General features: G+C 44.4%; 1 protein-coding gene across 21 annotated transcripts in view, besides 1 other annotated feature; it reads right to left on the bottom strand.

Annotated features, from left to right (window-relative positions):
* The window catches only part of ACTR3C (actin related protein 3C), a 442186-nt gene that overhangs the window by 96811 nt on the left and 320949 nt on the right, over positions 1-24426 (bottom strand). The gene's annotated exons all lie outside the window — the stretch shown is intronic.
* Positions 22650-22837: a silencer, noted in NCBI's record as "fragment chr7:149697909-149698096 (GRCh37/hg19 assembly coordinates)". NCBI's record gives its function as "represses an EF-1alpha promoter that drives an FKBP-Casp9 reporter gene in an ReSE screen in HepG2 liver carcinoma cells, and both phorbol 12-myristate 13-acetate-treated (for megakaryocytic differentiation) and untreated K562 erythroleukemia cells {active_cell/tissue: HepG2 | K562 | K562(+PMA)}" and the evidence as "EXISTENCE:reporter gene assay evidence [ECO:0000049][PMID:32094911]".

Here is a 24426-nt window from a genome sequence, read left to right on the forward strand (position 1 = left end):
TGTTTAGTTGGTTTGTATGAGCAGTGGCAGCGGAGGCCAGGTCTTGGCTTCCTGGCTGCCACTGGCCCTGGTTACCATGGACATAAGTATTTCCCTTTCATTCAGGGCAGGGGTTCATGGCCCCTCCTGCAAACAACAGTGTGCGTCCACGTGACTATTAAACTGTCAAATTCACAAGACCCACTCCAAAATAAACCCTTATGGTCTCCACAAGCCTATTTCTCCTCACTACTATCTGGGAAGCACAGACTTTAGGAAGGGCTTCATGTTTTATAAAAATGCCAGTGATTATCTGGAAAAAATGACACCCAATTTTCCACCACATCCTAAGACCTACGGGTGTCTACCTAAAAGCTAATATGTTGTCATGTTCCTGCCATCTCAGATATGAAGCTGAAGATATTTCATATGTATGTCCCAGAAATGAATGAAGAAGAAATATACAGTTGCTTGACTACATGACATGCAGCTCCCTGTTGCTTATTCTGAATGTGCCCTGCCTCTAGGAGGAGCTGTAGATCTGTGGTACTGGTAACACTAGGCCCACTAGCCTTATCATCATGCACAGCTTTTGTGTTTTCTTCCTCCCTCAGCTTCCACACAACAGCCCTGATGTTTACCAGCAGGCGTCTCTTGTTTAGTCTCATTGTCTTTGGCAAGTTCAATCTCAACCAGATTGTTGTTCTTCTCAAGAGGACTGATCCCAGCAGGCTCCAGCCCTAAAGCGGACTGTTCGGGAGATCTGTGTTAACTTTGTGTTTCAGTCCTCAGTCTCACGGTACTGGGTCCTACCGTGAGCGGAAAATCCCTCTCTACATCAGAACAGCCTTCTGGCCATGCTACAGTCCTCGCTCAGAAACACGGTATGTGTCTCTGCTACCCGTCTGCTCACCTGCATCTCCTACATCCTATCCAGCATTCTCCCGTCCACACCACTGGGCACATCAGATTTAGCAAATGATCAGTTAATTTACACTCATTAAGCAGCAGTCTCTACGATGAATCTCTTCTAAGCTCAGGACATTTGACACACACTTTGCAAAAATCATTATGTGTCATTGTGGCGAGCTGGCAGGTTCCCAGTTATGCTGAACAATGAAAAAGGGATAAAGCTCTGCAAAAGATAGAGTGGGGAGAGAAAGAAATCTGCATCGCATTGTCAGGACTAAACATTCTTTAAAGAAACCTACAGTGAGGTAAGAATGGCATCTGTGCTACTCTAGTCCAAAACGTGTATTCCCTTCCCCCTAAAAGACAGACAAAGACACCAAGGTACTGAGCACATCAATATAAAATAGGAGAAGAACAAGACAGGACTGCAGTAACTTGGTCTTTAAAAGAATCTCTAATTAAAAAGATATAAAATCATATTTGCTCAGACTTTGAAGGTAAAGGCAGAGTGTCTTGTACCTTGATCTTTCCACTCAATTATTTTGAGTTACTAATTTGTAACCATCCTTTAAAACTTGTATTTAAAATTTAAATAATAAAATTTAAAAATTTAAATGATACAATAACAGAGTGTCTTAATCAGATCTAGTAAATGAAATGCTTGGGAAATATGTGCACTAGATCAAGTTTCTGATAGTCTAAGCAAGAAATTCTTTTAATTTGTATTTTTAGTTGAGAATGTATTCATTCCCAGGGGTTTCAACCTGTTCCCATAGAAAGTAAAGACTGGAGAAGAGAGGCCTTTTGGATGCTGGAGGATCTTGGGGAGTCCTAGGGTCAGCATTTTGGGGGTGCCCCTCCCGTGACCAGAAATGGAGAAGAATTAAGAATGAGGAGTGAATTTGCCCTGGGACCAAGCTGAGCTTAGAATTTGGTTTTCTTTTAAAAAATTTGTATTACCCTATGTTTTAGAATTGTTCTCTAAATTCACTTTCTGATAAAAGAGACAGGTCTTGACTAATTGAGGTATCTGATTAAACAAACATTTGGCTTGATTAAAAACTAAGCAAAGAAGAATTCAAGAAAGATAGATCAGAAATGACATAAGGAGAAACAACTACTCTATAAAGGTAGATTGGTCAAATATGTAAAAGAGGGTTGAGATGAAGGGATATTTATATCTTGAACACACACTGAGAAAATAATTTTTGAGCATTTATTAAAGACCAAATACTTTAGGCTTTGTTTTATTGGGGAAAGTAAACTGTTTGCTTGTTCAATGACTTTCTGGGAGAATTAGAAAATTTAATCACAAATGAACTGCTGCAAATCAAATGTAGTAAAAGCCATTGTGCAGTAATCAAGGACAGAACATAAATGGTTCCTTTCCTTGAACAAGGGGTGTATTCAAAAGAGGGACCCTGATTTCTAAAGATCAATGAAAAATAAAGAGTTTGAAGCTAGTGTTTCATTCTTTTGCAAAACAAGCTAAATTATATAAAAAGGTTTTATTCAAGACAGTAAATGTCCATTCATTCATTCATTCATTCATTCAACCACTCTTCATGAAATTTTTCCTTGGATGAGAAAATTTAAATAAAGCAGAAAACATAGTCCTAGACTTAATTTTATGATCTATTCAAGTAACTAACCAAAGTGTGTATGTCTTACCTAACAGGCACACCATATATAAATATGATGGATAAGCAGTGAGTGTGTAAAGACCTTGTGACTACTGAATGTTTTGTAAAAGGTAAGAATTTAACCATTTGCCACAGAAACACATATTTGATTTTACATTTGACTTTATAACTAAGCTGTTCATAACAGGAATGAGATCCTTTTCTTCTGTTCAGAACTTGAACTCTCAAATGAGGTTACCTTATGCATTGATCGTTTGTCTATGATTGGCAAGAGTTTTACCAGACAGCAAGCAAGAAAGTAAACTGGTCAGCTCTGCAGGTGTAATTACTTGGATGGTTGTGTATTCACAATAACTTCTGTAAGTTTGTAGTGTCCCCACCTTACAATTGAAAGTGCTGAGACTCAAAGTCAACCAACCAAATGTGAAGAATCCAAACCCTATAGGCTGTATAACACTCTAAGAGCAGAGCTCTTCCCACTACAATGGACACACCGCAACAAGTACAAGTGTCATCGGTAGCAATGGCAGGATTTACAGTCCGTGTGAACTTTTTCAATCCCAAGACCTCAGGAGTAGACCCCACCCATGGACAATCAAGATGCAGCAGCAAGTGAGCCAATCTGCACTGGGCTTTTTGCATCAGGGCCCTATAACACTATCACCTCAGACCAAATCTCTGATAAGAGCCATGAGAATGAAGATCTGGAAACTCACGAAGGTCACTAATGGCTTCCTAGTCTGATGATTCTGTTCAACTAAAGCCAGGAGGAGTCCTTTGACAAAATTCATTGTTGTTTGGCTTTGAGGTTCATAATGGCTATAAGTAGGACCCTATAATTAGGACTCAGACTGGTCAATGCCTTGAGTGGTGCCTAAGTGGCCTCTGTTTACCATGAGCTGATGAGTGGCAGAAGGGGGGGACAGCACCTCCCATATATACTGGTTGCCTTTGAGGGCACAAAGGCATTTGTCTTTCACACCATCTGATGACCGCAGCACTGTTCCAAGGGCAGCCAGGAACCTGCCCTCAGTGGGCCATATTACAGGGGCAGCCCGAGAGAGCTGGTCCTTGAGTTTCTTCTGAGCTCTATGAAGTACCCTCACCTGGAGAAGAAAACAAGATGTGAACCCAGGTTTACACCTCATAACTCTTGCCGTCAGCATGCCCATGAGGCAGCAGCACAGAACATCGGCCGATGAATAGTTTCTTACCTCTCCTTCCTCCACTGCTGCCTCATGCCTGTATTTGAAGGCAAGGATGTTTTAGAATGAGACCCATGGCTACAGCCAGCATGTAGCACAGATATGAATGCTCAGATGTTGCCGAAGTCAGGTGTAAATCAGGGCGGACATTCTGGCAGCAAAAAAGACTGCAGAAGCCTCCTGGGTGCAGGTTGGAACACTTCCAAAAGTGGAACTCTATGATCGGTTGACTGAGGTGGAAGATTAATTATAACATCAGTATGGAGAGTGCAGCTCCCAACGCTCTATACCTGCTGCTGGGTGCCTGGGAGTTGAGCAATGGAGTTGGATGTGCCTTAGCTCTCTCTGACTCTCACTGGTTAAAGGCATGAGACAATGCAGTTAAGGCCCTCCTGCTTGAGATGAGAAAACTCATGAATTGTTTAAGTTCACTGGGAAATAACTTCTGTTCTTTGGTCCTGTTCTTTATCCTCCTTCCTCTACCTCAATAATTAAATAAAGGTTAGTTTTTATTATTGTGTCAAGCTCAGGACTTGGAAAGATTGCTTTACAGGATCTCATTTAGCCTTCATATTATCCCTGTGGTATAGACACTGCTATTCCCCTTTTGCAGATAACAAAACCAAGAGTCAGAAAGCTTAAGCAGCTTCCTCAAGGAAACTCAGCCAGTGCATGACAGGGCCATGATTCTGCCATGGATAACTGAGAATTTTCCATTGAACTGGAAATTGTCTGATGTTTGCTGAGTGCCTGGTGGTGTGTCCAGGGCTGTGCTAAATGAAGCTCAGTGTAGGAGCATCTTGTTACTGGCCAGAGGGGAGAAATGATCTAAGCTCATTTTCTAGGAGCTCAACTCTTGCAAAATATTCTGTGAAGATAAGAAAGTTTGGGTTGTCTACACATAAGATCATGTCATCCGCAAACAGAGATAATTTTATCTTTTTCTCATTTAGATGCCTTTAGTTTCTTTCTCTTGCCTAATTGCCCTGGCAAGGACTTCCACTACTATGCTGAATAGAAGCAGTGAGTGTGGGCGTCCTTGTCTTGTTCCTGATCTTAAAGGAAAAGCGTTTAACTTTTCACCATTATAGTTAGTGCCAATAATACACGATGGGAAAATAACAGTCTCTTCCAAAAATGGTGCTGGGAAAACTGGATATCCATACAAGAGAACTGAACTCTTACCTTATGCTGTACATAAAAAACAACTCAAAATATATTAAAGACTTAAACATAACACCTGACATTGTAAAACTCCCAAAAGAAGGCATGGGGGAAATGCTTCATGACATTGGCCCAGGCAATGACTTCTTGGATATGACACCAAAAGCACAAGAAACAAAAGCAAAAATCTTGAAAAGGCATTTCTTCAAAGAAAACATACAAATGGCCAACAGGCACATAAAAAGATGTTCAACATCATTAACCATCAGGGAAATGAAATCAAAACCACAAAGAGGTATCACCTCACACCTATTAGGATTGCTATTATATATCTATATGTATGTAGGTGTGTGTGTTGTGTGTATGTGTGTGTGTGTATATATATATATATGTAGGAAAACAAATGTTGACAAGGATGTGTAGAAATCAGAATCCTTGTACATTATTGGGGGGGAATGCAAAATGGTGTAGCCACTTTGGAATAGAGTATGAGGCTTCCTGAAAACACTAAAAATAGAACCACCATATAATCCAACAATCTCATTTCCAGGTACGTATCCAAAATAATTAAAATCAGGACCTCAAAGAACTATCTGCACTTCCATGTTCATTGCAGCATTATTCATAATAGCCCAAATGTGGAAACCATCTAAATGCTCATTGACAGATGAATGGATAAAGAAAATGTGGCACATATATACCATCAAATATTATTTAGCCTTAATACAGCAGAAAATCCTGCCATATGCAAAAACATGACTGAACCTACAGGATGTTATGGTAAGTGAAATGAACCAATCACAGAAGGATAAACCCTACATGGTTCCACTTCCTAAAGCAGGCAGACTTGTACAGAGAGTAGAGAGGTGCTTGCCAGGGGCTTGGGATAAGGGGAAATGGGAGGCGTTCCATGGGTACAAAGTTTCAGTTGTGCAAAATGAAATAAGTTCTAGATATTTGCTGTATCCTACTGTGCTTTCAGTTAACAAGACTTAAACATTTATGGAGAGAGTAGATCTCATGTTAAGTGTTCTTATCACAAAAAAAAGAAAGAAAGAAAAGAAAGTTTGTAGCTATGTTTAGTTATGTTTTTTTCCCTGTTTTATTTAGTACCTACTGAGGGATTCCTTTTTTTTTTTTCTTTTTTTGAGATGGAGTTTCACTCTGTTGCCCAGGCAGGAGTGCAGCAGCATAATCTCAGCTCACTGCAACCTCTGCCTCCTGGATTCAAGCAAGTCTCCTGCCTCAGCCTCCTGAGGAGCCGGGGTTACAGGCATGCGCCACCACACCTGGCTAATATTTGTATTTTTAGTAGAGACGGGGTTTCACCATGTTGGCCAGGCTGGTCTCGAACTTCTGGCCTCAAATGATCCACCCGCCTCAGCCTCCCAAAATACTGGGATTAAAGGTGTGAGCCACCATGCCTGGCCACGTTTTATCTATTGTTGATGCATTCCTTGCTACTAAACAGCATCCTAGATTTCCTTATTCCTCCACTGTTGATAATGTAATAGTTGATCTAAATACAGTAGATATCTGATCTCTCTTTCACAGAAAGTCACTGGGGTGTGTGATGGGAATTGTAAAGTAAGTATTGGTGATGGTTTCACCATAACAGGTGATATGATATCCACTGTCCACGTCATCCAAAACCTAAGTTTGTTTGGCTTCAGAGTTGCAGGACATTCCAATTATTCCACCTTTCTCAGCTTCCTACCCTTCGTGATCCACTCCAGCCAACATGTAAGGAGAATCTGGGGGAGTAAAGGAGGGCAAATTGGAAAATGTCGCTTCTGTTACCCAGTCTCTGCCCATTTTGGCCTTAATAAAATTTTGATCAAAATTTAAAAATTAGGAATATGTGTGTTTCACCATTTATCTGTGAAGGAAAGAATCCTGCCTTATGCCTAAAAATATTTTAATAATGTGGTAACATTACCACTAATAATAGAACCTGCCTACGCACCAACACAATTCCAATCTAAGAGTTAGTCATATCCTCCCATCAAGACACTGTGTGCAGATTTTCTTCAGTCATATTCAGATGGGATTTCAGGTTCCAGTCTGAAGACAAAGAGATTATAGATCAGAAGAGACATCTAATTTCAACTAAATCATGCTTGCAAACAAAGCAACACACACACACACACACACACACACACACACACACACACACACACACGAAACCCTGCCTGTTTTCATTTTTATTATCCCATCTGGCACTACCCAGATAAGAAAATAACTAAAATAAATATTTTCCATTAACCATTTGCATAAATCATGATTTACTCTCACAGGTATCTCAACAGTACCCACACCGGTGATAGGACTGATAATGTTGATTGACTGTTTACTATCTGCCATGCACTTCTAGAAGAGCTTGACTTGGGTTTTCTCATTTGTTTCTCAAAACATTCTTATGAGACAGACACCATTATTATCCCCACATTACAGATGAGGATACCAAGGCACCACAGAGCTAAGTGGTCGAGCCGGGAGTGGGCACCACCCAATCCAGCTTGTGCTACTGAACACGTGCTCTCTGATCACTGGAATCCTGGCAGTTTGATGGGAGAGACCTACTTCAAAAAATGCACAGTGCCATCAATGATGGAGCTGACAATAATCACAAATAACAACAACTGAATGTGTCTGTCCTTTCAATCAAGCACAGCCCATGGTACTTGTCAAAGCCCTTCTTTCTGTACCCATTTGAAAGGATGCATTTTTAGGCTTGAGCTCGAAGTCCCCATTCAGAATGAACAGAACCTCCCTATGTCCCACAGACATAGCAGATACATTCAGGTCTTTCTCTTTGGTTTGTCCTGCCTCACATGCACCCTCCTCTCCATCCCCCATCCTTTCCTAACTATCCTTTATCCTAAAACTGCTCATTCTAAGCCTTCAGCCCACATTAACCTCTTGCTTTCTCTTGTATTTTCTCTTCTATCCAGACACTGATCCCCAGACCCTGGAAGGTTTTCTGACTTTGAATAAAATAACAACTTCTAGATCTTGTCCTGGGCCATGGTCTGTCTGCTCTGTGACCTCCAGATGATGGAGAACTCCCGACCCATTTCCTCTTGGTGGGATGAGGTTTGCAAACTTCCTAGGAAATCACTACACATCAGTTGGGGCTGGCTGTTCCTGTGGAAAACCCACTCAACATTGCCAAAGCCTCCATCCCCTTTCTCGCTCATCCCATAAAGAATGGAAGTTTGTGGTCTCCCTTCTGCTCTACTGTTTGTACCTTATGATAAGGGGTCTGATGTGTCTGTGTGTTTCTCTCTGATTTCTGTCCTTCTTGTCTATTTTAAAACTCTGGCTGTTATTGTGTATTCACCGCGAGGTAAGTACCAGATTCCAGGGGAAATCAAGATTCTTCCCTGACTACCCAAGCAGAGTGATGCTTCTTTTTGATTCAGTCATAGTGTTTTCTGTTTCGTGTAACACAACTCCTTAGTAAAGGGTAAGCACCATGTTTCCTACCTAGTACAAGACTGATCAGAGGGTAGGCACTAATAGCACAAACACAATTTTTAGTTGGATGGAATTGAACAAACTCATTGCATTGAATGTTTCTGCATTTAACATCATTTGGAGAACACCAGGATGCAAATCTGGCCCATTTTCTCGCACAAAACTCCCCACCCATTGGTAGCCTGAAAGCCACAGTTGACAAATGTTAGGAAGCACCAGCAAAAACCAGTTTCCACCCCTCTTACCTTGACTTGTGTGACTGCCCACACTTCTATCCAGAGCCAAATGAAAGCTTCCAGTCAATGAAAAAATCTAGCAACCAATATTTAGGTAAGGTACTAAGAGCTATTTTGCATTCTGTTGCTCCCCCACCCTGCACCCCAATTAGGGTTCCCTGCATGGGCCCCGCAGGTATCTGAGGCTACTGCCTTGAAGCCCCCGCCCCACCCACTAAAGACACTGAGTACTGGAGGGTCCCCTCTCCTTGTTCTACAATCATAACACGCCCACACAGGGGCCTGCTTCTTCAGGGGTTTAGTGCCCTCCACTGGGGGACAAAGGGTAATCAATGGACTATTATGCAACTCACAAAATTCTTACTGTCTTTCCCCTTCTCAGGGAGAATTATGTCCTACCAGAGGAAAAAAAAATGCACACATCATCAATAAAATCTTTGTGAGCAGCTTTTTAAAAAACTATTATTATTTTTAAAGATTAGAAAATTAACAGCGGCCAGGCGCTGTGGCTCACGCCTGTAATCCCAGCATTTTGGGAGGCTGAGGCGGGTGGATCACTTGAGGTCAGGAGTTCCAGACCAGCCTGGCCAACATGGTGAAACCCTATCTCTACTAAAAATACAAAAATTAGCTGGGCATGGTGGTGGGTGCCCCATAATCCCAGCTACTCAGGAGGCTGAGACAGGAAAATCACTTGAACCTGGGAGGCAGAGGTTGCAATGAACTGAGATTGTGCCACAGCAGTCCAGCCTGGGCGACAGAGCAAGACTGTCTCAAAAAAGAAAAAATAAAAAATAAAAAAAGAAAAGAAAAGTAACAGCATACTAGAGTATAATTTTCATATGCTCCTCATTAAAATTTTGAAAATTGTTAGTTTTCATATTTTCTCCATATCTATTTTAAAAATTATTTCAATTGCATACAGGTACCAAAACATCATGCCTCGAAATCATTCAGGATGCATCTTTTTAAAAAATCTCAGTGAGCAACGCTAAAGAAGAGAGACCACAAGTTCTAGACGTTTTCCTGTATAATTAAGAAGAATCTGTTCAACAAACCCCCATGACATAAGCTTATCTATATAACAAACCTGCACATGTGCCCCTGAACCTAAAATAAAAGCTTTTTTAAAAAAGAAAAAGAACATTTTCACACTTAAAAACTGAATACAATTTTCTAATCTCATGTAATAACTTCCCCAATTACTCTAAAATGACTGGTATAGCTGGTTTGTATAGGTAAGGATTTAGCCAAGGCCCAGGAATTGCCCTTGGTTGGTGGTAACGTATATTTCAACTTAGAACGTGTCTGCCCCAGTGGCTCCCCAGCCCACCGCACATTGCTGGCTTGCTGGAAGGAATGGGCGAGTTGTTGCCTCCACGTTTCCACCTTCTGGATTTGTCTGGCTGTTTCCTCCTGGTGTGCATTAGCTGGACGCTCTGCAGCCTGTATTAGTTACGCACTGAAAGTTAGACCTAAGAGCTTGATTAAGTTCAGCTCACACATTTCTGGCATTACCTCACAGGTGATGCTAAGCACCGCATGGGGCATGGAAGGATATCTGCTTGTCCCAGTGTTAGGGATGCAGGAATTGATAAGGCGGAGAGCATCGGTGTTCTCCAGGATAAAGTCACATTTCTCCCCTTGCAACCAGCAGATGATCCCTGGAGTGATACTTTAGCACCATGTAAATTCCCTGAGATGACTGTGTATCCATTCATGACATTTGCCTACATCAATTGGTTTACTAAAGATTTCTGCATTTTACAAGCAAGGAAAGAAGGCTCAGAGATGACCGTTGGGCCACTTAGCAAATTGGTGGCTGAGAGGCTGGCCTGCCAGAGGTGGGATACTTGCTCACCTCTTGCCCAGTCCCTAACCCACAGAAGTCTCATGATGAGAGAACCCTCAGCACCCTGAGAGAGTTAATGCATCATCCTTTGGCCCCATGAATCTGCCCAGAAGCCAGCTGAGAAAAGAAGGTAGAGAACAGGGCTGAGGGACAAGGTGCCCCTTTATATATTTGGGTGAACACATTTTTAAATTTTCCTTTCATTGTCCAGTCCCCATGAATTATTTATTTGTTATTAAATTCAACTGAATGAGATTTCAAAGCAACGAAAATTGAAGTTCAAATGAAACCAAATTACCACTCTGAGCTCCAGGTGGCCCTGACAGCCCAGTTTTGTGAAGGGCCCCTGAGGCTGTTCACTGAGTCTGAGATGTCACCAGGCATGGAGGGTCTCTGATCAGCATCCAGAGCTCCAGAGTAGGGAGCAACCCCTCACCACCACTTCTGGGCCCCAGGCAAGGCAGAGACCAAAAGAACCCTGGTAAGGTTCCCCAACCTCCATGTTCATTTAAAAAAAATGTTTAAAACTGACAAATAATAATTGCATATATTCATGGGGTCCATCATGATGTTTTGATATACATATACACATATGGAATGCTTATATCAAGATAGTTAACATATATATCACCTCACAGACTTATGTTTGTGGGTGTGTGGTACAAATATTTAAAATCTACTCTCTTAGCAATTTTTGAAACATACTTTACATTATTAAATATAGTCACCATGTTGTGCAATTGATCTCAAAAACTTATGCCTCCTGTCCAATGAAATTTTATATCCTTGTACCAACATCTCCCCAACCCACCCCCAACCATCCCTGAGCTAGTCTCTGCCTCTGTAATTTTGACTTTTTAAGATTCTACACAAGTGACATAATGTGGTATTTGTCTTTCTGTGCCTGGTTTATTTCATTTAACACAATGTCCTCCAGGTTCATTCATGTTGTCACAATTGACAGACTCTCCTGCTTTTTTAAGGCTGCATAGTATTCCATTGTGTGCATACACCACACGTTTCTTATCCATTCATCTGTGGATGAGCACAGGGAATGTTTCCATATCCTGGCCATCCAGAACAGTGCTGCAGTGAGCATGGGAGTGCAGATGTCTCTTTGACAAGCTGATTTCAGTTCCTTTGGTTCTAAACCCAGAAGTGGGATTGCTGGATCATCCAGTAATTCTATTTTGGATTTTTTTTAAGGAACCTCCACACTATTTTCCATATGGCTGTAAAACTCACATTCCCTCTAACACTGTGTGAGGGTTCCCTTCTCTCCACATCCTCGCCAACACTTGTTATGGTCCACATTCACTTTTCAAGGTGAAATCCATTCTCTGCACTCCCCTGCTTGAAAGCACTCGGCGTCAGTGCGTTGCTCCTTCCCTCACTTCCGGAGGCCCCTGATCTGAACCTTCATCCATCCCTCCCCACACGGGTCTCAATTTTTCCTCCAGCCTTTCAGCCTCTTTTCTCTCCAGGGACTTTGCACCTGCTCTCACCTGTGCCTGGGTTGTCAGTGAGCTCCATTGCACCCTTCATTCCCAGCCCAGCTGCTGCCTTCTCAGGAGAGACACCTTCCCAGACCTCCTTCACCCACGTGCACCCCCACCCATCAGCCCCTTTCCCATTTCCTACAAAGTCAGGAGCATTCACATATCACCTGTTGCTCCTCTACCCACTGCCTCTTACCTCCACAAGAACACAGCAGCAGCATGAGTGGCCACTGAATCTCCAGCACGCAGCCCAGTGCAGGGACAGAGCAGTGGGTCCTGTGTTTGCTCAGCCTTTTCACCAGAATGTCAATCACATCTGCTCTGCTCACCCCACCACACTCCATGTCTACCATCACATTCTATAAACACGCACCAAGGATATAACGCCTGGCCTAGCGGTTGGAGATGCAGAGACCAGACCTAGCCTTTCTGTTCCTCCTCTTAAGAAACTGAGCCCCTCATGGAGAAGTGAGGCAGACACATGAACATAAGTTTTGCAACAGAAGCACTTTTCACCAGGTAATGCTATGGGAGCAAAGAAGGAAGTAACGGAGCCTGGGGGAACTCAAGATGTTTTCTGAATGAACTTTTATCTCTGAGTAAGAAACAAGGGCGCATAGGCAGAGTCTGCCACCCCTTTCTCTCCTCTCCATTGGGCCTGTGGAGATGGAGTGGGCAGGCACATAATCTGTGGGAGCACAGTGTATTCAGGGGAGTTATACAGTTCCATAGGTCACAGCTGGGCCCAGGGTACACATGAGGGACAAGCCAAAAGTGAGACCGGAAAGCGAGTCGGGGCCATGCCCTGAAGAGCCTGCAATGTGGACTTATCCTGATGCATCAGTCTGTTCTCATGCTGCTAATAAAGACATACCCAAGACTGGGTAATTTATAAAGGAAAGAGGTTTAATGGACTCACAGTTCCACATGGCTGGGGAGGCCTCACAATCACGGCAGAAGGCAAAGGAGAAGTAAAGGCACGTCTTACACGGCAGCAGACAAAGACAGCAAGTGCAGGGGAACTCCCCTTTATAAACCATCAGCTCTTGTAAGCCCTATTCATTCTCAAGAGAACAACACAGGAAAGACCCACCCCCATGAATCGATTACCTCCCACTGTGTCCCTCCCAGGACACTTGGGAATTATGGGAGCTACAATTCAGATGAGATTTGGGTGGGCACACAGCTAAACCATATCACCTGACTACTGACCTTTTTTAAAACTGTGAGTTCAAAGGACCTCAAACTGGGCTGTGGTGGGTGCCTGCTGGTGGGTGATGAGGAAAGGCTGGTCGTTATTTGCAGCCAAGGCTCTGGTCACACAGAATCAGACACAGGCTCAGCAGTGAGCAGCCTTGGCAGGCCTGGAATCCCAGGCTAGTTGTGCCTGTGATTGGTTTTGTTATCAGCACACTTTTCATTTTGGATTCTTTTGGCCATCCCTCTCCTCATTAATGATGTCATCAAAGAAGGAACAGAGCATCACCTCAGGCCCGGTCTCTCCCACTTGCCTTCTTTGACACAAATACTTCTGACATCTTAGATTACGTGTCAGAGGGAACAAGGGTGGAGTCAAATTCGATCTTATGTTTTTTTGGTTTTGTTTTTTAGACAGAGTCTCACTCTATCACCCAGGCTGGAGTGCAGTGGTGCAATCATGGCTCAGTGCAGCCTTGACCTCCTGAGCTTAAGCGTTCTCCCACCTCAGCCTCTGGAGTAGCTGGGACCGCAGGCGTGTGCCACCAGTCCCAGCCTCAAACCTAATCTTACATTGAATGTTTGTTATGTAAGCACACACACAGAGGTGTGCCACCACTCCCAGCCTCAAACCTAATCTTACACTGAGTGTTTGTTATGTAAGCACACACACAGAGGTGTGCTACCACTCCCAGCCTCAAACCTAATCTTACATTGAGTGTTTGTTATGTAAGCACACACACAGAGGTGTGCCACCACTCCCAGCCTCAAACCTAATCTTACATTGGCTGTTTGTTATGCAAAGGTTAAGAGCTGCAATGTGTACAGGCAGATGCCTGCACAGCACAGGTCCAGAGCCGAAGGGTCCCTGAGAAAATACCACGTGTCCCATGTCCATGCCACCAAATAAATACACGGTAGCAGACTGTTTTGATATGTCATGGGATCTTTGAAATATGAATGCCATGCCTTGTTAATCATGAAAACACCTTCTCTCATCTTACTAAAGCACGTTCCACCATGGGCACTGGCCCGACTTTGACAGAGTGTTGAAGGAAGAGCCCATTAGTCCTCCCCAGCCATATATCATACATGTCCAATTTTCTAGCCACTGACAAATGATCTTCATAAAATATGACTAAGTTGTCCAGGAAGCAAAATTTCTCCAGGTCTAGCCAAGAACAATATGAGAAATGCACAACCCCTTCCCGTCCGGGGCAGCTGCATTTCCAAGTGATTATCCATCAGCTACAGGTGACGCATCTCCACGTGGAGGAGACTGCGATTCCAGAAAGGCAAGGCCACATGGGTTCCGTGAGGCCCCGTAGAAGTGAACGTGGCAAAGAAGGGACAAAGAAGGGTGGGCAACCGTATTGGTCAGGAATCTCCAGAGGGACAGATCTGTGGGATGTATGTGTATATGAAACGGAGCTTATTAGGGAGAATTGTCTCACATGCTCACGAGGTGAAGTCCCACCATAGGCCATCTGCAAGCTCGGGAAGAGAGAAGCCGGTAGTGGCTCAGTCCAAGTCCAAAAGCCTCAAAACCAGGGAAGCTGACAATGCAGCCTTCAGACTGTGGCCAAAGGCTGGAGAGCCCCCGGCAAACCACTAGCATAAGTGCCAGAGTCCAAAGGCGGAGGAACCGGGAGTCTGATGTCCAAGGGCAGGAGAAGCTGAAAGAAGCATCCAGCACAGGATAAAGCAAGAAGCCAGAAGAACCAGCGAGTAAGCTTATCTTACCTTCTTCTGCCTGCTTTGTTCTGCCTGCACTGGCAGCCGATGGGATGGTGCCCACCCACACTGAGGATGGGTCTTCCTCTCCCAGTCCACTGACTCAAACGTCAGTCTCCTCTGGCAGCACCTTCACCGACACACCCAGAAATCACACATTACCAGCTATCTAGGCATCCTTCAATCCAATCAAGTTGACAACTAACATTCACCATCACGGCAACAGAAGAAAAATTGGAGAGCGGGGAGCTGGCCAGTGGTGCCCTGCGAGGCCAAGCAGGGGTGCACTTGTATAATTTGCACACTTATAATTTGACATTTATAATTTCCCTCCTATACTCAATGAGGCCCTCGCTTAGAGGACCACCAACATCTAAATTCACTGCAGGATTTTCTCCCACAAGGAAAACCCAGATGTTTTAGGAGAACCTAATGCCATCAGTATGGCTGATGGAATGGAGTCGCTTCCTGCAATGAGCAGATGGTTTTAGGAACAGGACAGAAGGAAGAGGCTTGCTGAGTTGACTGCACTTCTGTCGGAATCAGCTTTCTCAGGAGATGCTCCCCTTGAGCTAAGCAGGGCAACCTTCCCCTTTGCAATCCCCACCCACAGACCCCATTGGAGCAATAAGTATTGTGATCAGGGTACTCATTGGGGACAGTAATTAAATGTCTGTTTGGAGAACACAGGCTCCACAAGGCTAACCAGGCCAACCCTCTGACCCCACGGGGCTGGCCTCTGTGATTCAGAATGGGGATATTACCCCAGGCCCTCAGAGGACACCCTGTTCACTGCTCTCAAAATCCGATCGCATGTTGAGTGGAACATGACACTGATTAGTATTCCATAAAATCCTGTGGATGGCTTAAAGTGGCCTGATTTTAGAGAACTATACTGTGCATGATGCACATTAAGAGAGGAACAGCAATGATTAAAGCATCAGGAAAAAGGAGCTGGAAGCAAAGCTAAGGGAGCTAGGGTTGTCTGACATGAAATAGAGAAACAGGAGGTTTTATAGTTGTCCATTCAGTTATCCTCTTGTGATTTTTTTGATCAATATGAAAGTGCACAGATATGAGACTTATCCTAAGGATGATACTAAAAAGTATGAAATGTTTTTCACACTCAAGCCGAGGAGACAACTTGAGAACAAGGAAAAACGCACATGGAAGAATGAAGTGGCCATCGAAGGGGCAAGTCTGTGGCTGAATGAGGGGTCCCCACAGAAACTAAAGAGGGGCTTGGCCGGGCACGGTGGCTCATGCCTGTAATCCCAGCACTTTGGGAGGCTGAGGCGGGCGGATCACCTGAGGTCAGGAGTTTGAGACCAGCATAGCCAACATGGTGAAACCCCATCTCTACAAAAATACAAAAATTAGCTGGGAGTATTGGTGTGTGCCTGTAATCCCAGCTACTCAGGAGGCTGAGGCGGGAGAATCGCTTGAACCCGGGAGGCAGAGGTTGCAGTGAGCCGAGACTGTGCCATTCATTGCACTCCAGCCTGGGCAACAAGAGTGGAACTCCATCTCAAAAGAAAAAAAAATGGAAGCTAAGGAGGGGCTTTATGGAGACAGTACAATGTGTAAAGGCCCATCACCCATAGAGCCTCAAAGTCCTGACAATCTGTGAGTGTGAGAATAGCTTCATCTTTGAGGTCCAAGTGCCTAGAAAATCTTGGAGGAGGCAGGAAATAGAAATCCAATGTTTACTGAATGAATGAGTGACGAAGGAAGAAGTGAGTAAGACAGTAGGAGCAAGAAGTGTTAACATTCTTTTTTTTTTTTTTTTTTTTGAGATGGAGTATGGAGTTTCGCTCTTGTTGCCCAGGCTGGAGTGCAATGGAGTGATCTCGGCTCACTGAAACCTCTGCCTCCCAGGTTCAAGTGATTCTCTCACCTCAGCCTCCCGAGTAGCTGGGATTACATGCACCCGCCACAGTGCCCAGCTAATTTTTGTATTTTTGGTAGAGATGGGGTTTCACCATGTTGACCAGGCTTGTCTACAACTCCTGACCTCAGGTGATCCGCCCGCCTCAGCCTCCCAGAGGGCTGGGATTACAGGCATGAGCCACTGCGCCCAGCCCAACACTCTTTATATAAAGCTCCATGCAATGTCCTAGTTACAGAATGTAAAGGATTTTTTTGCCTGCATATTTCTTGCCTGTGACAATATTAAACATTGCTGATCACCCCTTTTCTGATAAGATTTCCTCACTTTGCTCCTCCACTTTCCCTTCTAAATGTCCTGCTTTGTTTACTCTTCTCTTTCCATTGTGTGGAATTGTACTGATGTGTGCTGAAAGAAAGAAGGAAAGAAAGAAGAAAGGGAGAGGAGGACAGGGGAAGGGATGGAAGGAGAAAGAGAAAGAGTGAAATCACAGATATTTACTGAGCTCCAGGCTCTAGCTGGATACTCGCACAGTAAATAAGGCAGGTCTGTTCTCTTCGAGGTCTTTCCAGACTGCAGAGAAAGCTGCACAGACAATTTTAATACTGCGTTGTTTGTTGTGGTAGAATTAAGCACAGGATGAGGCTGGAGTGCACAGGATGAACAACTGATCTGAACTGGAAATTACAGAGGAAGCTTTCCAGAACACCACATGGCATTCAGGTTGGTGAGTGTCCAACTGGTCAGTTAGATACAAAGACCTGGAGACAAGAGGCGGACCTCTGGAGGGGTGGAAAGGCCGAAGAGGTAAACACAGGACCAACCACAGCTCCGTGAGGGGCACCGTTGGCAGGACCAGCAGCACGCTGCACGGTCACGGGGAGGTGAGCCTCGTTTGGGGTCTTGACGAGGAAGGGAAGGCTTCACAGCAGAGGTGGTTCGAGGCCTGTCTTAAAGGCCCAGCAGGCTTTTTGTTGATCAGCAAGTGCAGACAGAAGGGAAAGTCCATTTTAGAGAAAGCAGATCATCACCAGCAGGTCACACCTGTGCGGTATGTGCAGTCTGTGTGGGAAATCTCCTGGATGGATGCGTGGGTTAACTGCTGGCGTGGGGAGGGAGGAGGCTGGAAAGGCATGTTGGGACCAGACAGAGAAAGATCACAAACCATTCTAGGGGACGTGGGGAGCATCTGCCAGCAGTGCGGAAGCCCTCGGAAGGCCAGAGCAGATGGTCTTGCCCCGAGTGTGGCTCCATGGAAAGGGACGGAGTAAAGGAGGGGAGGGAGGAGAGGAAGGGGTAGGCTTGAGAGGGTCCAGGCAACAATAGGTCTGGGAGACGGCGGAGGCTCCACTCACTGAAAGAGAAATGAAGTGGGGCAGAGGCTTGGCATGACGGGGGATGGGGCGAATCATCCAGAAAAGTCTGTTGCATGAGGCAGAGAGAAACAAAATTGCTATTCAGGAGCTGGAGAGGAGTTAAGAACAGAAGAAAAGGAAACAGGCAAAGACAAACAGGCAGGTGGTCTTCAATTCTATGTAAGGACTCAGAGAATAACTGGGATTTTTTTTTTCAGTGTATGTTCTAAGGGACTTTCAGTTTGTAAAAATAGCAGTTCTGGTAAAAAAATAAATAAATAAATAAAAAATAAAACTCCCACTTCTACTCTGGAAGTTGATTTTGCTCTATTATAATCTAATCGAAACCTTTTCTGTGAACTCCAGATTCATACATTTATTTCAGTATCCAATGGCATCTTAAACTTTACAAACCAAACATAACCCTAAACCTGTTCCTTTCTCAGCATTCCCAATCTAAAAACAATGGCACTCTATACTTGCAGGGGCTGGGCCAGAAACCTGACTGTTATGCTCCCTAATATCCCACATGTGGTCTGTGGGTCAATCTTGGCAAGTCTCCTTGCAGAACACACTCTCAGTGCTTTCACCCACCACTGCCACCCGGGGCCACGCCAGCACCATTTCTTGACTCGATTACTGCAATAGCTTCTCAAACACCAACAACCATTCATCCCAGAGATCCATCTCAGATTAGGAGTCTCTTCCTTCACACCCTCCAGCAGCCACCCAGCTCACTTTGGTTAAAACCAAAATCCTTAAATAACCAACAGGCACACATGGTCAGGTTCTTCTGACCACTCCTCAGCCACGATGGACTTCGTCATGCTCTTGCACAGACCACCCTCCCCGACCACCCCAGGGCCTTTGCACTTATTCTGTATTCTCAAAATGCTCTTCCTCCAGCTGGCTGTGGTGGTTCACTCCCTTGCTTCATTTAGCTATTTGGGCAAATGTGAACTTTGCAACGTGACCTCTTGGCCACACTTTTAATAATTTTAAGCCATTTCCCTGACCCTCTATATTCATTCCCTGATTTTTTTCCTTTATAATTTATCACCATATAACATGTAATAATTTTTACTGATTCATTTGCTTTTGTTCCCTATGCATTGGAATTCAAAGCCAAGGAAGGCAAGGTTTTTTGTTGCTCACTGCTGTATCCAAGTGCTTAAGAGAGTGTCTGGTGCCTGGAATATATCTGGCATTCAATCAATATTTATTTGTGAATGACGGGATTATTAGGAAAGTCTTCAATTTTATTTTTAATATGAATGGACATTATTGCAATTCCACATAAAGGCAGGATAATAGAGTCGATTATCCTCTATTTTCCTCTGAGTCATATGAGCCCCTATCCTTACATGGAGCAAACCTCCATTTTCTATCACTGAATTTACATTTTTACTCTCTGCAAAATATGTGCCTATCTTCCTAAAAATCATAAATCTGTCCACTGCATCAGTATATTAGAACAAATCCTGATGTGATTGTTTGCAAAACAAATTTAAAGGCTCTTTAGTTTCTGCCTGTATGAGCAGATTGGCATGATTTAAAGTGTAGACATTTTATGGGGCAAGAATGAGTTTAGATATTTGTTTTATTTATACAGACATTTAGAAGTGGACATTTACTAGTGCAAGTATCATTATCAATTTCTTTGCAGAGGAAAGGTTAAGGGAGTATATATCACTGCCAAATGCAATAGCGATCATGGAGGCTCCCACAATAGGGCCATTCCTCTCTTTCTTCTCCTTCTTGACTTGGATCCTGAAATGCAGGCAAACTATAGACATCCACCCTTCTTCTGCCCTCAGTAACATAAAGAGATGGGGCACATCACCCTGTGGCAAGCAGAGCCAATCCCTGGAGCTCAATGCTGTAAGCAAAAAGCTGAGCAAGTCCCTAGGAGATCTGTCTCCAGACCATAGTGTGTTAGACAAAATCTTTGTTTCCTTCTTGGAGGCCCCTCTAATTACCTGCCTAGACCTGAGTCTCACTTTATTAATTAAATCTCCTGAAACTTTGTGATTTTAAAAAAGATGACCACAAATTCTTTGATACCTGTATTCGTCCATTCTCACACAGCTAATAAAGACATACCCAGTACTGGGTAATTTATAAAGAAAAGAGGTTTAATTGACTCACAGTTCAGCATGGCTGGGGAGGCCTCAGGAAACTTACAATCATGGCAGAAGGGGAAGGAAACATGTCCTTCACACGGCAGCAGGAAGGAGAAGTGCTGAGCAAAAGGGGAAAAGCCCCTTATAAAACCATCAGATCTCGTGAGAACTCACTATCATGAGAAAGCATGAGGGTAACCATCTCCACGATTAAATTACCTCCCACAGGGTCCCTTCTCCAACATAATCCAACAGGATTATGGGAGCTACAATTCAAGGTGAGATTTGGGTGGGGACACAGCAGAACCATATCAATACCTCTCCCTTCAAGAGGTGGAGCCTTGTGTCTGGGCTGGATTTTATGAATTGCTCCTAATGTATGTGGCAGAAGTGAGTGAGCACAACCCATAAGACTAGATCACAGGAAGGGGCTGCGCTGCTGTCTCCACCAACCTCCCTCCCACCACTCCCTCAGTCACTTGTTCTGGGAGAATCCAAATGCCACATGATGAGGAAGGGCCTACGTGGCTAGCACCCAAGGCCTCCTGCCAGAGGCCACATAAGAGAGCCTGGACGTTGCCCTGCTGCCTCCACAAGCCCCCAGGTGACAGCTGCCTCAGCCAGCACTAGCTGCGTGCTCCTGGAAGGCCTGAGCTAGAGTACCAGCCAGTCTGCTCCCAGATCCCTGCTACCCAGACCCTGTGGGTAACAAATGTGCGTAGTTTTAAGCCACTAAGTGTTGGGGTAATTTATTACATAAGTGTCTAATTTCATCTTCAAATAGTGATAATCCTGTATTTTAAATACATAATAATTCTGTTTAGCAAAATCATCTGGAGTACAGAGGAATTCGATCATCTGTTTTACATTCTCAAGTTTACTGAGCATGTCCAGTGTGAAGCCCTGTCCAGGTATGCTGGAGCAATAGCGTTCAATCAGACGGGTCCTGCCCTCAAAGGGCTCGCAGCACGGCGGGAGAGTGGAGGTGTGCCCTGCACATAGAGGCCTCGGAACAAGCGATCATTGCTGCTGCTCCTGCTGTTGTCAGACTCAGCCTCTTCTTTCATGGGATGGGCCAAAATAAGCCCACTTCTGAGGGTGTTTGTAGGACCCTGGCTTTGTAAACTCTGGTAGGAGACTGAGTGGCCGCCTGACTGTGGATATGTAGTTGGCTGGTTCCAGGTACACCCAGGCTACAGCAAAGGGAGTGACTCACATTGCAGGAAAAACTGACGAGACTGCTAGGAGGCCAGCAAGCGGAGGCTGGGCATCCTCCAAAGCAGGCTGTGCAGTGTGGAGACAGGCAGCTGCAGTGAACGCCAGGTCCATCCCATCATCTCTACCTACAAGGGGAGCACACGGTGAATACCCAACAAAACCGTGGGTCTTTCCTCTCAGAGTCTGATCCATTTCTTGAGCCAGCCTTGCTACACAACCATAACTACTAATACCTGGTTTTCTAAAAATATAAATCACGTTGACCTTTGCTGTTGTTGTTATAAATATAATTGATGTTAATAATGAAACATCTGGAATAATATAGAAAGAATAAACTAGAAATCATTTAATCATAATTTCACACACAGAGACAGCCAATCTAGTATAGTCATTATACTATTTTTACTAGTATTTTTAATCTATTATTTATAAGATTTGGTCTCTATATGTAGTTTTAGATTTTATTCTCCCACTGTTTTCACTTAATGTTGTAATATAGAGATTTTCTTACATAATAAAAAATCTTCCAAAGTATGATTTTAATTATGAAATATTTTATTATGCAGACATAGCACAAATACCAAGATTTAAAATGTTTTACTTTATAAACCAAAAGCATAAAGGTATTGCCTCAATAGCACCTTATGCACACTAGCGATTTCCTTTTACTGACTTGCTTAACTGATCCATAATCATTCTTATATAAATACCCACTGTTGGCATTTACCTCTTGCCATTTTCTAGAACTGGAATTACCAGGTTGATAACTGGAGAACTTTATCAAGTTAACTCAATGTCCCTGAAAAATTTTTCTTATCTGTATAAAGGGGACATGAGATTATTTACGGCATTTCACTATAATACACACTAAGTTGATAGCATGGGTAGATAAATCTTTGTGTGCATAAAAAGGCACAGTGAGGACATAACCCAGATCCCACTCGCTTTCCACGACACCCAGCTGCCTTCTTGTTCTAATTCATGTAAATCATTAAGGGTATTTTAAAAGGTTCTAATGTTGCCTCTGAAGTCAGCCCCACCCAAGCTATAACCTGGGCAACAGGGGAAACCGGGGGCGATGTCACACCTCAGCTCTGTTCCTTCCCCTTCCCAGCCCGCAGCTCCTGGGAGAGAAGCAGAAATCCAGTCCCCTCGACTCCCTGGTCTCGCCTGGAACTTAGCTCTCACCTGGGACTCAGCTCCCAGAGTGAAAGGGATTGTCCTGTAGCGTGAACGATGAGTGACACCCGCACCCTCCCTTGTAAATCTGCTCCAACAAGCTCTCCTCCAGGACGCTGTCTTTTCTGTGCTATCGAGCACAGCCCTGACATTACAGCTGGCCTTGCAGACATCACCAGACGACACCCAAGAAAAATGGCAGCGCCAGAGCCGTGAGCATCACAGGAGGTCTCAGGGACACGCCAAGGCCGCCTCCCAGGAAAAAGCAGAACACCGGAAAAGACCTTGTGAAGACTTCTTATCTTCCCCTCCAAATGGTGTCTCTTGCTTTGGCTCTTGTCGAGTTGGGGCTTGTTGGAAGACCAGGTGAAGGCCCAGCTGCTAAAGCTTCCCCTTTCTACTTCTTGTTACTCTATTACTCAATTAGGACTGGTGCTGATTTAGGGGAAAAACATTATTTGAAAACACAGAGGTTCCCTCTGCTTTGATCCTACACAGGCAGAGATATCTCCAAGCAGAGAGATCCAAAAAAGAGCGCCCCCTGCGGGAAACGTTCTTTTAATTTAGACTTTGCCGTTCCTCCTGTGGAGACGTTGTCACAGTTACAGTAGTGGGTGATACATCCCCAAATTTCTGCCACGTGCTCAGAGAGCTAAGGCATATCCCACACCCACGACAAGCTTACAGGTGTGAACCTGGGTCCAGGCAGGTGCCCTGTTCCTAACTCTGGTCTTGGACGTGTGATTTAAGCCAGGCCTCAGTTTCCTTGCTCACAGATGTGGATCCCAGGAGCTGCCTCAAATACTTGGAGGCATGAATGGTTCTAAATCACGCATGCCATGCCTGACACATTAACCCCCCATTCTCTTCACTGTGCAGGGTGAAACAACAGACAGCAACCCAGCCTGGGCAGCACATGTCCTGCACCTGGGCTGTGCAGATACTGAGAGCTTCCTGCCTGGAGTGGAAATTCCTGCAGCATGCATGCAGAAAGGAGATGGCCAGGAAGTCCCAGGAAGATGTAGAAAGTAGAAAGGGAGGCAAGAGCGAGGAGTTCTCATTTGGGAGAAAGGCTCACCAGTGAGGCAGGAAGTGACCTTTGGAAACATGCGAGAACCAACGTGCATGGGTCCTCACCAACTTACTCTCAGCAGCGAGGCCTGCCAACAAGAAGGCATAGGCTCACCAGCTGCACACGGCTAATGCTCACCCAGCACCACCCTGCCTGTCCGTGCATCTGCTGTGCACGTCAGAGGTCAACTACACGTCCCAGTGGTAGCCATATGAGGACAGTGCTGGTCCCAGAGAACAACACTGATATAAGACCCAGAGACTGGAAATCTGCCACTCCACACTCCTTCCCTCAGAGAAGGTAAGAAATGAGAATTTTATACCCTCTCCAGCTCTGAACATGCCTCCTAGCCATGCCTCTTCTTCACAACTGTGAGATCACCGCAAACATAATTCAGCACACAGAGCCTGAATCCTTATTTCCAGATAACATGAGCAGAAACATGCAGCTCTCTCTGCGCCGAACCAAGTCCCAGTGACTATATCACACCACACCAAATCACACAGACGTGGAAAACTCCACCAGGGCCAGCACTCTTCCCTAAGAACTCAACTGCCTGCATGCAACGGTGCTAACTTTCCCTTGAACAATCCGACAGAGCCGCGTGTTGATGGGAACGTCCCCTGACCTTTCAATCAATGTTTATGAATTTGTATCGCAAAGCATCCCGGGAAACTGTGCATGCTAACT

Source organism: Homo sapiens, chromosome 7 (genome assembly GCF_000001405.40).
Source record: "Homo sapiens chromosome 7, GRCh38.p14 Primary Assembly".
NCBI lineage: Eukaryota > Metazoa > Chordata > Mammalia > Primates > Hominidae > Homo > Homo sapiens.